General features: G+C 41.3%; 1 protein-coding gene across 33 annotated transcripts in view; it reads left to right on the plus strand.

Moving 5' to 3' along the window:
* The window catches only part of KALRN (kalirin RhoGEF kinase), a 692957-nt gene that overhangs the window by 306421 nt on the left and 370184 nt on the right, over positions 1-16352 (plus strand). For 32 of the 33 annotated variants that reach the window (XM_006713810.4, XM_017007429.2, XM_011513279.3 and 29 more), the window contains exon 10: positions 7354-7476. In XM_006713810.4, the coding sequence (XP_006713873.1) occupies positions 7354-7476 (123 nt within the window). Of the gene's footprint in view, positions 1-7353; positions 7477-7530; positions 7574-16352 lie in introns of those variants that run through there. The other variant, XM_047449164.1, reaches the window with a different exon arrangement.

Consider the following 16352-nt stretch of genomic DNA (forward strand, 5'->3'; position numbering starts at 1 on the left):
GAGAGGATAATTCTTTAGTTTACCTAAAACATCAAGCATCTTCTTGTTTTACCCCGTGGATCAAATTATGACACAAGCTGAATAACCTATTTCAAATAAGATGACTTATCAGAGAGAACCAGGTGAGGAATCAGAGAGGTGAGATTCTGATTCCACATATGGTTGCAAAACGTCTCCATTTCTTTTCATGGGTTTTGTTCTTCCCACTCAGGAAGTTTTCAAATTATATGTGTTATTCACTTACCCATTTATTCAGCAAATACTCTGAGAAGAACACAGCAGCAAATCAAATGAACCCCCTGTTTACATAGAGCTTACAGTCAGGGGGTGGAAATAAAACAACACCCAAACCAAGCAAATATGCCGTGTGTCATATGGCGATAGCTGGTGATGAGTGAGTGGAGAGCTGAATGAATGAGCAATAAGGATGTGTTTAAGAAGAGGTTCTGGGACTGGGCACTGTGGTTCATGCCTGTAATACTAGCACTTTGGGAGGCTGAGGTGAGCGGATTGCCTGATCTCAGGAATTCAAGACCAGCCTGGGCAACATGGTAAAACCCTGTCTCTACTAAAACACAATAAAACTAGCTGGGTATTGTGGTGTGTGCCTGTGGTCCTAGCTATTCAGGAGGCTAAGGCATGAGAATCACTTGAACCCAGTAGGTGGAGGTTGCAGTGAGCCAAGACTGTGCCATTACACTCCAGCCTGGGTGACAGAGTGAGACTCTGTCTCCAAAAAAAGAAGAAGAAGAAGAGGTTCTGACACATGGAATGGTACTTACAAAGTCCTTAAGACCAGAGTGGTTTCCCATGAGCTCAGATGCGTTCATGGCCACTATACAGAGATTGTTTGTTAATAATTCTCTTCAAAAGAACATTTTCCAGCTGGGCGTGGTGGCTCACACCTGTAATCCCAGCACTTTGGGAGGCAAAGGCAGGTAGATTAGCTGAGGTCAGGAGTTCAAGACCAGCCTGGCCAACATGGCAAAACCCCGTCTCTACTAAAAATACAAAACATTACCCAGGCATGGTGATGCGTACCTATAATCCCAGCTACTCAGGAGGCTGAGGCAGGAGAATCGCTTGAACCTGGGAGGCAGAGGCTGCAGTGAGCCAAGATCACGCTACTGCACTCCAGCTTGGGCAACAGAGAGAGACTTCATTTCAAAAAAAAGAAAAAGAAAAAAGAAAAGAACATTTTCCCTTCTCCTTGGCAGTTAGAAAAGACTGTCTCCTGTGCTGAAAGGCATTGCATCTTGATTGTATGCTGGTTGGAATAAACACAATTAGATGAGGAAGAAAGGGGGTGATTAGGGAATTATGCATAATGGCTGTTAAGTTAACTTTCAAATCTAGTCAAGGATGTGAGCATCTCTTTTGGAAAAGACTGTTCTTGGAAAAGACTACTTTCTGGTTGAAAAGTCAAGACGAGAAACCAAGAAGATCTTTACAAGTTGTTACAAGACTGCCTGCCTGCTGTAGTGGCAAGGAGCCTGGGCTCACCTGCGTTGTTATCCCTAGTGATGACATTCCTGAATGGGGTGGCAAAATTCCTCTCAAGACGAGCAGGGCAGGGACCTTGGCCACATATGCACGTGGCAATTCATGGCTATAAACAGTCATTGTGTATCTTCCAAGTGCAAGATGCAGGCAAGGATGCTGTGTGATAGAGGAGAGGGAAGGGTAGCATACAAATGGTGAAAAACCCATACTCTTTACATCCCTCTAAGAACTAACTACCTGCCAAGTGGGGCAGTGGGGAAGGTGGAGATGCACAAAGAGAGAACTTTGAGTGTAGACTGAGATAGAGTTACAGTGGGAGTGTAGAGCAGGAGATGTTCACTCCAAAGTTCTGCATTAGAGGGGTCAGTTTGAGCTCAGTTCAATTAAACATGTATTAAGCAACTACTCTGTGCTGAGTACCACACTCTGTCCTGGGAGTACAAAGAGGTTGGAGTCTAGTGTGAGAGACAGGCCTGTGGGCAATAATTGTAGTTTCAACAGAATAAGAGAAACACCCACTCCAGCCTGAATGGGTTATTAACGAGTTAAGGCTTTCCATAGCCAATGATTTTGAGGCAGAGCTTAAAGGATAAGTAGGAGGTAGCCTGGAAAGTGGGTACACGAGAGGAAAGGATATGGAAAGTGAAGGGAAAAACAGAGCAAAATTTAGGAGATGAGAGGCAGCTTTTAGGGTGTTGGGGGGTGAGGCAGGAACTCACTAGGGGTGGGGTTAAGAGGGGGTAGGGCCAGGTATAGGGGACTTAGTGTCAAGGTAAGGGGCTGCTCAAAAATTATACCCTGGTGAAAAGCCCTTTTGAGAATTCGTGGGTTAATTTCATTTAAGTCTGAGGGTATGCCTTTATTTATTTATTTATTTATTTATTTTTGTATAAATATACGGAGTCCAAGTATAATTTTGTTATATACGTAGATTGCGTAGTGGTAAAGTCAGAGCTTTTAGGATATCCATCACCCAAATAACATATATTGTACTCATTAAGTAATTTCTCATCACCCAGCCCCTTCTCCCTTTCCGGTGTCCATTGTCTAGCACTCCACACTCTGCATCCATGTGTATGCATTATTTATCTTCCACATATAAGTGAGAACATGTGATATTTGTCTTTCTGTACTTGACTTGTTTTACTCAAGATCATGGCCTCCAGTTCCATCCATGTTGCTGCAGAAGACATGATTTCATTCTTTTTTATGGCTGAATAGTATTCCATTGTTGATATATACCACATTTTCTTTATCCAGTCATCCATTGATGGGCACTTAGGTTGAAGTTATATTTTTAAAATGGATTTGGTATTCCGTTTTATTATTGGGATTCAGCTAGATTAACAATTTATAATTTATTTTTAAGCCTTAGTGTATAAATTACTTCTTTGAAACTAAAGGCACATCTTTCCCAGAATCTGACTGACAACCATTATTGAGTACTATTTCCCATTCCAGTTCAGGGGCACAAATCACTGTCACTTATGCCCCTGAGTATACCTTTCCATAGTCATTCTCAGAACAAGAGTATGAGCATGGAAAGGGAAAAAAATCTTAAGGAAAAAAAATATGTTATGTCTGTGCTACCCCTTATAACTCATTCACTCCTGTACCAGTGACTAGTTCTACCTTCCACTCAGTTATTCAAGACATGCCCCTGGGGGCCAGGCTTACCACCTGCCTCTCCATCTCCCCCATAGCCAATTACCAAGTCCTGGCAATTCTTTCCCCCAGCCTGTCTATCTATAGACACTGCCATTGGCCTCGCCTGGGTCACCATCACCTCTTGTCAGAATTTCTGCCTCCTGTTTTCCCTTCTCTACTCTTGCCTTCTCCAGTTTATCCTCCACAAAGCAGTCAGAGCAATATATATACACATATATTTGAGACAAGATCTCACTCTATTGTCCAGGCTGGAATGGTGATATCACAGATCACTTCAGCCTGGAACTCCTAGGCTCAGGGGATCCTCCCTCCTCAGCCTCTTGGGTAGCTGGGACTACAGGTGTGCACCACCACGCCTGGCAATTTTTTTTGTATTTTTTGTAGAGACAGAGTTTTGCCATGTTACAGAGGCTTGTCTCAAATTCCTAGGTTCAAGCAATCCACCTGCCTCTGCCTCCCAAAGGGACAGGATTACAGGCATGAGCCACTGCACCTAGTCAGTCAGAGCAATAATTTATAACTGAAAATGAAAAGTGTCTTTATCCTCCTTGCAGCCCTTCAGTGGCTCTTAGGATGAACAATGGATTCTCCCGTTCAGCACACCAGGGCTCACCACAATCTTGTTCCTGCCTTTTCAGGGTCCATTTCCTACTTATCCCCTATGCAAGCCATGCTGGTCTTTTCAATTCCTAATTTGGTTAAATCCTACTCTCTCTCAGATCTCAGCTAAACCTCACTTCTCCTGAGAAACCTTCCGTGACTCCCCAGAGAAGATGCGTTTGGCTGTTGACACTTTTCACCTTTGCAATGAATGATGAATTGTGTGATTTAGTGTCTAGTGCTTGTTACCCCTATAGACTGAGTTCTCAGCATCAGGCCATGCCTGCCTTGTTTACTGCTACACCCCCACCTCCAGAGCTGCTCTAGTGCCTGACACTGTGGCACAATAAGACTATTAAATAAATGTCCGAATATGTGAATACTTATATACCCACACATGCTTCTCTGCTGCCTGACAAAAACAAAAAGATAAAACCTCCAAAACTGGAAATGCTCAAATACCAATTCAGAGCCATCGATAGGTATGAATGACTATCATGCTGTATATCCTGACTATGATTGGTAATTGAGTATTTTAAATATGCCTTGTAGATGAAGAGAAATTATTCAGGAATAAGATTATAAGGAGTACCTTGATGGGTGCTTGTACTTAGGTAGGGTCCAGGATTTGACTAGAAAGTCAATTTATTCTTTAACCATTGATGTTCAGATTCTGGGACCTTGTTCATCTTAATGGAATGCACTAGAAACTGACAAATATCCAGAATCTCAAGCCACACATAAATTTATAGCGTGTAATGTAATTGTCAGGCACTGCTGATGTCTGCTCAGGAACATGTTTCTCTGCTGCGCAGGATCTGCATGGAAAGTCAGATTGTACTCCCGAGGTTGGACGACATGGAATCAGGGTCCAGACAGTATGTGGTCTAAACACGTGTATCATGCAATGATGGCTCTAAATGAACTGTCTGAAACAAAATAGTCAGAAATTAGAATCTTTAACAATACTTCATATATTAACTATGTTTATCTAGCCTCAAATACTTTTTCAGTCTGGATTACTAAAGTAATTTTGTTAACTCCCTAAATTATTTGCTTTTTGATTTGTTAAATTGATTTCTGCATAGCTCCTGAACTTTCGTCGAAATTGCACATATTTTCCCTACAGCTTCAATTTTAATGGTAGAAATTGGACTAAATGATGGCACCAGAGCATCACAGAGCAATCAAAGTTATGTTAAAGTGAAGTAAAAGCTTCTCAAATATGAAAGAAATAGGTTTTTAAGTGATGAAGGCATAGCCAATTAAGTAAAACTAAGTGTCACTAAAAATAAATTGACATTTTAAAGAAAGCAAAGTAACTTAAAAAGGAAACAAATTGCGTTTAAAAAATATTTAGAAGTTGTGAAATCGTTTCTGGGGAGTGCAAACACTGTATGTGGGTGAACTAGTAGATGAAAAATATTCCTCTTCAACCAATTTGCTTCAGAATAACCAATTTTCTTAAAGCTAGAGATAAAAAATGAGATAAAACAAAACTCATGAAAACATTGCCAGACAAGCAGGCCATACTTAAGTGCTCAAAACTAAATTTAAAAAATTGTAGTCTGAAAAATCTGTTATAAATTCCAACACATTCATAAACGACCACTGGTAGTTCTTTTATATGCAAAAAATTATCATCAAACCTCAATTTGTTTTCAAAAGGGATTGATGAAAGTTTATGCATTAAAATCCTAAAACTTTACTATACTTCGCACCTAATATATGGGAAACTTTGTGACTACAAGTATTTACCTTTGACCTTGCATGCTGAAGCTCATAACTCCTTTACAGTACAGAATTGTGAGATCTAATTGTGGCAAGCCAAGTAAAAATATACTCTCCTGATTTTTTTTGGTTGAAGTTTCACCGTAAGTAATTCTAGAGAAACGCAGGCTCTTCTAAGAGATGAACATGTAAAGTTCCTTTCAGTGCTGCCTTTCAGTGTTTGCAAAAGGTAAAAATCCAGCACTACCACAATTTCTTTTTAGGGTTGTGCCTCCAGAATACTTAAAATATGTATATTGCCAGAATATATTATAAAGTGTTTAAAATCTCCATAATGTTTAGATGAATTCATTTTTTATTTATAAAAAACTTTTTTTCTTCATGATGATGGACAATTACTCCGCCTGTCTTCATTAAGTGGATATTTGTTAAGCCTCATTTTTATATTCATATATACCTTTCTCTGAACTAGCACAATCACGATGTGGGCTTTGTGATCCTGTCACCAAAGACTTTGAAAATGTTCATACCTTGCACACTGCAGATATTAAATATCCCAAATGTCAGAGAACTCCCATACCTGTAGTCAATGGAATGATTTGGTTTTACCTCTGTTTGCTGCAGGGCAATCCGTTTGAGACACAGGAATGAGTTAAACCATCCTTTTAAATAGACCTAGTTCATCTAAACCATTTTCCAGTAAGTGCTTCCAAAATCTGGAAAGGCTAGTACATCATTAATTAAATGTTTAGTTAATGGTTAATATTGCAGGCAGTGAGTGGGCTCACTTGAGTTTTAGCAGGATCTATAACAGGTGTGTCTATACTGTAATTCTGATTTAATTGTGGTCACCTGATTTACTGAGCGCCAACTCTTCAGAGATCAAAAGATGATCTCTGGGATACACACATTTTTGTTAGGCCATCTGCAAGAATGCAAAATGGGTATTAAAGGCTTTCATCCTCCCTGCACGTCAAGGCTTTTACTAAGGGATTTCCATCCTGCCTCTCAAGTGCCCCTCAGGAAAACTTATTTTCCACCCTTCTTAGCATCCCCTCTCTCTCACCCCTCTATTGCCCAGGGGTCTCTGTTCCAGTGTCTCTAAATATCAAGGAAACTGTCTTGAAGCCAAATCACTAGATCTTTAGCCTGGAAGAACCTGAAGTCTCCACTGCTTCCCAAGAGACTCAGATATTAAAGGACTTAGGATGCAAACACTTTAATTTATTTGTTTGTTTGGTTGGTTGGTTGGTATCGATTGGAGGAGGGAGATGGAAAGAAGCCAGAGGGGGCTCTTGTCCTAGTGGTCAGATATCATGAGCATCCAACTGGAGACTGACTACCCTGGACTTTGCTTTCAAGATTAGGAAGGGGAGTCCCCGGAGCACAATGAGGCAGGATCCCCATGACTGGTCACCATTGCTGTTTGTGTTCTTATGGCAGCGTGACGGATGAGTAATGAGGGCCAAGATACTGCCCAAACTGCTACTACCTAATTTCCTGCCAATATCTTTATGTGATTGGGTAGAAGTGGTGAGGGGGTTAAACTGTGCCTGATGGTCTGTGTAACTTGTTTAAAATAATGAACTAAGAAAATGGAAAAAGTAATGGAAGGATAATATGGAGATCAAAAAGGATAAGTTGAATTTAGGTAAAGGTGGGACTATGATATTGCCAATGACAGTAATGAAATCCCATGGACTCACAGCAGATTGACCATTTCCACCTGAACTGCTGCTTTACAACTGGGATGGGATATAGGGGTGGTTAGGACTCTAGCAGTTGCACATGTTGTCACATGTCTTTCCTTCTGCTAGAAAGTCATTGTTGCTGTTATCCTTCTTTGACCAGGTGTTGGACTGGATTGAAAACCATGGTGAGGCCTTTCTCAGCAAACACACTGGAGTTGGGAAGTCCCTACATCGAGCCCGGGCCCTGCAGAAGAGGCATGATGACTTTGAAGAGGTGGCTCAGGTGAGAAGCTGTGTGTGTGTGTGTGTGTGTGTGTGTGTGTGTGTGTGTGTGTGTGTCTAGATGAGGGAGGCATGATGACTTTGAAGAGGTGGCTCAGGTGAGAAGCTGTGTGTGTGTGTGTGTGTGTGTGTGTGTGTGTCTAGATGAGGGAGACCAGGGCTGTGGCTTTGGTGTTTGGTGAGGCATGCTGGGTTGATAACCTGTGGCTGCTGGGCTGCCTTCCTGCCTGATGCAAGGAGTCCTTTGTCTTCTTTTGGATTCTAGGTGAGTGGTAAAATAGATGCCCACATTTATGGTCTTTGAAAAAGATCTTCCTGCTGGTGTGATCTAAAAATGCCTTGTCCACGAGGTGGTGCTGGCAGGAGGGAATGACATTATTAGATTCCTCATCACCCCAGGGCTACTGCTTATGATTGTCACTGCCAGTGAGTGAGAGCTAAAAATCAGTCCCAGCTCTATTTACAAAGCCACATACCTTCCAGGACCTGGAGAAATAGGTGGCACCTGCTCACCAGCCATGCGCTCACAGGGTTGAATGTGCCCAGAGAACCTGCCTTCGTGTGATTTGTACAATATTTAAACTGCCATTTATATAATGTTCAGTCTTTTAGCTGAGCTGCACACCTGATCCAAAAAGGGCACTGTTTTTGAATTTATACAAAGATGTTGTATGACAGGCCCTGACCATTTGTCTAATAGTATAATTGTTTTAAAGTGTTTTTGTTCAGAGCCTCCACCTCAAAAATGTTATCCTAACTCTGTTATATTTCTGCATTGGGGAGTTTTCCAAACGGGTCCTGAAAATTTTCATTTTCGAGATGAAATACTGCTCTCCAGTTATTTTATCAGGCGTGATTAGCTGCCATGTAAAACAAAATAATGAGGAGTAAGGCAGGGAGGGTGCCCATATGGGACAGAGAGGTGGGTGCTGCTGAAGGAGTGAGAATGACAGAGCTAGGTTTTGCCATATCACTGCTTTAGCCAGAGCTGACTTCGATCCCACCAGGCAGACAGCCCTCAATGTGGGCCCTACTTTGGGCATTGTACAGAGCCCTGGGCCTCACCCAGGGAGGCTCCCAGCCCCAGACAGACTATGTGCTATGGATGCAAAAAGAGATGGCATGTCAACAACCAAGCAAGAACAGGAAAGTCATGGAGCATTACTGCATCTCTAGGGGAGCTGCAAGCATATGCTGAAAAATGAGAGGCCTCATAGGAGGCAGAAAGACCATGTCAGTGGCGACCTGAGCCCAGGGAATATGGGTGGATTGGACCCAACCTGTGGGATAAAGAAAGCCTCATATAGAACCCTTGTGCACTGTTGATGAGAATGTAAAATGGTGCAGCCACTGTGGAAAACAATGTGGAGGGTCCTCAAAAATTAAAAATAGAAGTACCATAGATCCAGCAATTCCACTTCAGGCTGTCTCCCTAACATAATTGAAAGCAGGGACTCAAACAGATTTTTTTTTGAGACAGTCTCGCTCTGTTGCCCAGGCTGGAGTGCAGTGATGTGATCGTGACTCACTGCAACCTCTGCCTCCTGGGTTCAGGTGATTCTCCTGCCTTAGCCTACTGAGTAGCTGGGATTACAGGCACCTGCCACCACACCCGGCTAATTTTTTGTATTTTTAGTAGAGATGGGGTTTCACCACGTTGGCCAGGCTGGTCTCGAACTCCTGACCTCAAGTGATCCACCCACCTCAGCCTCCCAAAGTGCAGGGATTACAGGTGTGAGCCACCGTGCCCAGCTGTCAAACAGATATTTATACACCCATTTTCACAATATTCAAAAGGTGGAAGCAACTCCAATGTCCATTGACGGATGCATGGATAAACAAAATGTGTTCTATTCAGATAATGGAATATTATTTAGCCTTAAAAAGGGAGGGAATTCTAACATACGCTACAACATGGAGGAACCTTGAAGACATTATACTAAGTGAAATAAGCCAGTCACAAAAAGGACAAATATTTTATGATTCTACTTATACCTAGAGTAGTGAAATTCATGGAGATGGAAAGTAGAATGGTGGTTGTCAGAGGCTGGGGGAAGGGAGGAATGGGGAGCTATTGTTTAATGCAAGCTTATCCAGCCCATTGCCCACGGGCTGTATGTGGCCCATGATGGCTTTGAATACGGCCCAACACAAATTGGTAAACTTTCTTAAAACATTATGATTTTTTTTGCAATTTTTTTTTAGCTCATCAGCTATCATTAGTATATTTTATGTGTGGCCCAAGACTTCTTCCAATGTGGCCCAGGGAAGCCAAAAGATTGGACACCCCTGGTTTAATTGATAACAGAGTTTCAGTTTTGCAAGATGAAGAGTTCTAGAGATGGATGATGGTGATGCTTGCACCACAACACTGTGAATGTACTTAATACCACTAAATTATACACTTTAAAATGGTTATAATTGTAAGTGTTATATTGTGTATATTTTACCACAATAAAAAAAAAAGAAAGCCTCATAGCCAATGAGGACCTTCTGCAGAATGAGGTGGACTTTGCCAATGTAATAGACACAGGTCCCAATGCACCTTATGATGGACAAGATGCAGCACAGATCCACAATATCTGGTCCTGGGTCATTCCTTTCTAGGCTGTTAGGGGGCAAAGGATGGGAGAGGGCCACAGGTATCCCCTGACTGCTGAGAGTGGAGGTTGTAGTACGTGGGGTGGTCTGTTGGAATAGGGCCATCCCATAGCTTTGGGGCTTCTGCCTGTGGGCTGTCCTATGCCTCAGCATTCCTCACTTAGAAAGGACGTCCCCAAAGCCACCCATAGCCCTGACCCAGCTCAATCTTCCTTGCCCTCTGCCTGATATAGCCTCAGAGGCAATGCCAACCTTGGTTATAGGCCCATGTTTTGGTTATAGGCCGCAGTTTTTGCATTTTGTTACAACCATTCAAGACCCATGGCCATCCCAGTCCCATTTTTCCCAACTGTTCCTCCACCTTCTCACTGATGCCTGATATTCCTTTCACATGGGACAATGCCTTTCCATCAGCGGCAAAGACACATGAATTTAAATTCACGCTAAAGAAAGAATGGACACATTTTTGAGAGCTTATGTTTCCATTATATATCTTGTCTTATACCAATCCTGAATGATAGGTAGTATTTGCCTTGTTTTATAGAAGACAACACTGAGGCTTAGAAAGTTCTTCCATGTGCCCAAGTCATCCAGCTTGTCAGGGGCTCTGCTGAGATTCAAACCCAGGTCTGTTGGATTCCACAGTCATGTTCTTATCCTAATTCCATGCTGTCCCTCCTTATTGAGGTATAGGAAGTGGGCATAAAATTCATTTCTAGGTGCCCATTTGCTTATGGGAAGTGTGGGACAAAGAGAAAGGGAGTGAGGGTGGGGGATGTTGCCACCCTTATTGACATCCATTACAACTTTCCTCTGGCCCTTCCAATGAGTAATCCACTGGCATAATCCACATCTCCCTGACTCTGCTTTCTGATAAGACTGTATTTTTTTTGAAAGAGAAGACAGAGTTCTAACTTCCAAAAGGCTCATGCTTTTAGGAGGAATGTTTGCTCTGAAAAGGAGAAAAGCAGATGTGAGCTACAAAGGGAGCACTTTACCTGGGGTTTGTGAGCCATCCCATTACCCTGAAATTAGCCTCCAGAGCTGGATCTTGTAGTTGGGGAATTAATCCTGCCTTATTCCTTCATCACCACTCTGGGAGATTGAGTGGCCCAGCATCCTGGGATTGTTAGTCCACATAGGAAAACCAATGCTGACCACAGTGAAGGCAGGTTGACTGTCAGTAGCAGCCTGTCTGAGACCTGCTTTGTTCTGTACAACGTGATTGCCATGTTTAGGTGGTGAAAAAGGGGTAAACTAGGAAGGAAAGGGTTCTTCTTTCTCTCTTGTTTCTGCTCTCAATTAGATGATGGCCACTGGGAGAAGAGGAGTGGATTTAATCAGGAACTGAAAAGTTCTCGAGTAAGAAGATCAATGACAGAAAGCCAAAGCATGGACACTCTTGTTCTTTGTTTGGGTTGCTGTTTATGAGATGTGTTCAGGAAGGCTATATATGCTGTGGGGTAGGAGCCTGGGGTAACTTATAAGCAATACTCTAAAGGATCATGATTCTGTGAAGGGACCTCTTTTAGCCTTATCATTTAGGATTCCTTTACCTGAGGCTGATAATGAGAAAGGAATTCTGAGCACCCATTCTCTGTATTTAGGTTCAAAAAATTGTCTTGAATCAAAGCAGAAAGACAGCTATTACATCTGTCACAGCTCCTGGAAATTTGTCCTTCTGCAAGGAAAAGCAAGCCCTCAACAGAGGGAATGGCTACCCACGGGGAGGGGTTAGGCAGTGTAAAGCCCCTGAACAAATACATTTCCACCCTAGGGATAGTGGAGGCATCTGTGATTCTTACCAGTGGTCAGTCTTTGTAGTAAAGACATTTAGGGCAGCTATTAAAATAGATGTAAATGATATCTTTGAAGAATTTATGTGGCAATCCATTATCCTTCATTAAACTTTAACTTTTGTGTTTAATAGCTCTTGAACAAATTTTAAACAAATTCTTCAAATGCCATTTGAAGATGAATTAAATATTTGAGTCCTCAGTTCATCCTGCAGATGGCACTCTTTGAATGGCTGACATAGAAGCTGAGCTGACTGGGGAAAGGCTTTGCAGTCATGACAGCCTCCCTAGAGAGGAATCCAACATTCAGAGTGAAGGCCCAGGAAGGGATACACCAGGGAATCTGTGTCTACAGTTTTCTAGTCTAAGCTGCTGAGGTTGTGCGTGCTCAAATAGAAGTCCCGGGCACTGGCGGGAACCTCTCCTGGTCCTTAGTCAACTAATGGACTCAGTTTGCCTATAATCTCCCCAAATGGCTAAGGCCACCGAGTAGTTTTTAAGAGACACATATTTTAAGAGACATTAGGTGTCATCAAGAATATAAACAAGTGTAAGATGGAGTTCCTGCCCATAATAGGATGGCTGTCAGGGGATAGATGTTTCCATGTCTGCCCAGGTGGTGGAATAGAATGTAGTACTGTTATATTGTCCTGAGATATTTGCTATTATGAGGTAGGCGAGTATTCAAGTGCCTGTGGTTTACATAACAGCTGTGCCTACTCTGTTAGTGTTCTGCTTTATGGCCTCATTATCTGAAATGCCAGATTTTCTGTACGCTAATTTAGTCAAAAATTAGCAAGCGTTTATGTTCAAATATATATTATCTAAAGCCTCAGAGCACCAAATCACATTTAAGCAGCTAGACATATTAAGTAGCATTAATGTAACATTTTTGAAAGAGCAGACAATTTAAAGAAAGACTTAAAGAAATAGAAAAACATGGGCACAATTAAGTACTTTATTCAGTAATCTCTGGTTACTTGTTTCTCTATCCAACCCTTGTGGTTTTTTTGTTTTGTTTTTTTTTTTATCAAACTTGAACACACTTTAAAAAAATCATTCTGAAACTGGAAACCATCATTCTCAGCAAAGTAACACAAGAAGAGAAAACCAAACACCGCATGTTCTCACTCATAAGTGGGAATTGAACAATGAGAACACATGGACACAGGGAGGGGAACATCACACACTGGGGCCTGTTGTGGGGTAGGGGGCTGAGGGAGGGATAGCATTAGGAGAAATACCTAATATAAATGACGGGTTGGTGGGTGCAGCAAACCAACATGGCACATGTATACCTATGTAACAAACCTGCACGTTGTGCACACGTACCCCAGAACTGAAAGTATAACAATAAAAAATAAGAGCTATTATGAAAGAAGAATTAACAGAATGAATGGATAATCCAAACAAGTGGTAAGAGAAAGAATCAATGATGACAAATGTTCTGAACTCTGTAGGCAACTGCATTGTGCTATCTTGATACTTTGTTGACTTAGTAAAACTGGAACTATAAAAAAAAATCATTCAAAATAGGTAAGAATAGAAGGAAGGCATTTTAGTGGATTTATCAGTGACCTTGCCCACCGAAGATACTCTGAGTACAATCAGCAAACCTACCATAGTAATAAGGGCAAAATAAAATAGGATAATCCACAGAGATGGAAAGTCTGTGCCCTCAGAGTTGGACAATAGCCCTCATCAATTTTCATTTCCCATCAAGTTTCTGTGTTGGGCACTGTGAAAAGTTAGAGTTCCACAGTTTCTGTCTTGAGGAACTCAAAATCTAATTTTAAAAAATGCATCAAACATGTTCTAACCCTCTAAGAAATTCTGTGACAAGAAAAGAGGCATAATGTTTGCTCCTTTAGGATTTTCAAGGGGCATTTCTAGTGAAAGCTACATCATCTGGCAATTCAGTTAATATGCAGTGATGCAGTGACCTTCACAGTAAGTTCCTTCTTTCTCTTCTTGCCAGAGATGATGACCAATTATAGCAGCTGCAAATGCAAGCAGAAGGAAAAGGTGGGAGAGCTTAAATAGATGCTTTTTCACACTCTAGCTTCTTAACAAGGATGAAAGATTCTTAGGCAAATGAAAAAAAAAATAGTGAGGAAGAAAGCCAGGAAAATGCAGAAAAATTAATGTCATGAAGTGGGCAAGTGGAGGAATGTGAAGCAGCAGAGAAATAAAGGATAGTCTTGCCCTTTGGATCTTGCATGACACGTTTCCCGTTGGGGTGGATTCAGAACTTTCCCTCCCTGGAGCACTAGGGAGAAGTTACTGGTATGAGCTGATGGGAGACCATCTGGTGATCACACTGAGGATGAAAAAAGATGTTATATCTTGTGGATAACTTCCAGTCAGGGGTTTTGAAGGTCACTTTATGTGGATATGATGTAGAAAATTGGGAGAGGGCAGGAGCCAATATCCAAGATATTATAGAGAGCCTACCATGAACCTTTTATTAACCCCATGAACTGTCACCCACATTTGCTGCTTCCTTTGGGGAACAAATGGCACATTCAGAAGAAATTGGGGTTTTATTCCTAATGACATAAGTTCTGAGTAACAAACTGAAAGATTTGAAAGCACAGGTGGTGTTTTTATCTCTCGTTCCATGTGATGGCAGTAACTACAGCAAAGAAGGGAAGCTTTGAGAAACATGCATGCCTATGTAGATGGTATTTAAAAAGTTTTCTGGACTGTGTTCTACAGAGCCAGGATGACGGGCTTCTGGCAAGGGATGGAGTGCATCTTGTAAGGACTGGGAAGGATATACATTGGCAGAAACCTTGATGATCTATATAGAAAGATTTAAATGAATTTTAAAGTTGAGGGAGAAAATTAACCCAGTGAAGCCAAAATCAGATATATCAGGCTTTACATAGGTGACATAGAAAAAGAGTGTTATAAATAAAATGTGCTTAGATAACCTTAGGTTTCAAAAAATACCAAGAATACAGGTTGCAAACAATATTTTTAGGCTTCTTTATAAATAAACCAACAAAAGGCATGTGTAACAAGTAGTGCACTTAAACTTTTAACACAAGAAGATAAATATAATAGGTAGTCCTGAGACCTCAGGATATTGAGCTCATAACTAGAAAATGGCAATAGAAGAGGATTCTTTGTTGAAAGGACTTGTTCTAATGGGAAGAGTGACAGTGTATCAGGATGCTTCACATCTATATGAAATCTACAAACCTGAGGGTAGAACCTTATGCAGAAACAAAATGAAGATAAGAGGAACACAGAAATGAGCCATCATGTTAGTGGAGAGGACCATAGTCTGCTCCATCAAATGGAAGATATGGAAAATGCTGTTCTGAGATTATTTCAATTCTGGTCAAGGAAAACTATGGTCATAGTGGGAGTCCTCAAGCTCCCTGGAATCTCCTGGAAAAATCTGTGATACTGTAAATGAAATCAGTTAAGTAGGTTAGAGCAAAGGGTTCTATGTGGTAGAATGTGAATCATTGTAGAAAAGTTCAAAAAGTGTAGTTTGTGTATAAACTCCCAAGAACTTTGACCTGTAGATGCAAGGATATAGACTTTATTCTTAGAGCAGAGAGGAATGTTAAAGGCTTTTGAGTGATAATATAAATTAAAATATAATATCTAAACCAGAGAAATAATAATTATACTGTCACTGTTTAGATCACATGTGGAAAATTGCGCCTAATTCTGGAAAATATATTTTTAAAAAGATATTGACAAAATACACCACAATTGTTGGAAGGCTACCATGATTGTGAAGTTGAAGTAACTGGATATGTTTTGTTTTAAGTAAAGAATGTTTTATGGAAGGCAGGGGTGATGAGTTTGATAGTTGAAGGCTTCCCATAGATGAAATAAGAATAAAAGGTATAGTGAAGCCAATTTTAGCTTAATTCAGGTGTAACTTCTAACCATGGGTTGCATTTTTATGAGCTGTCCAAAACAGAGTGAAGTGCCTTGTGATGTAGTGTGCTTCGTCCCACTGGAGGTTTTCCGATACAGGCAACCTTTTTTCCTTAGGATTAAACACCCTCAACTCTCTCCCATCTTTTTTTTTTTTTTTTTTTTTTTTGAGACAGAGTCTCGCTCTGTCACCCAGGCTGGAGTGTGGTGGTACAACCTTGGCTCACTGCAATCTCTGCCCCCCAGATTCAAGCGATTCTCCTGCCTCAGCCCTCCAAGTAGCTGGGATCAAAAGCATGAGCCACTACACCCTGCTAATTTTATATTTTCAGTAGAGATGGGGTTTCACCATGTTGGCCAGGCTGGTCTCGAACTCCTGACCTCAAATGATCCACCTGCCTTGGCCTCCCAAAGTGCTGGGATTACAGGCGTGAGCCACCGCGCCCAGCCTCTCCCATCTTAAAAACAAATTAATACAAATACAAGCCACCAAGAACAGCTTCTCTGAACTCTACTTTCCCCTCTGTTTCTCCTTCCCTTTGTAGTCCAAGTTCTTGATAGAGGAGTTTATATTTGC

This window comes from Homo sapiens, chromosome 3, assembly GCF_000001405.40.
Source record: "Homo sapiens chromosome 3, GRCh38.p14 Primary Assembly".
NCBI lineage: Eukaryota > Metazoa > Chordata > Mammalia > Primates > Hominidae > Homo > Homo sapiens.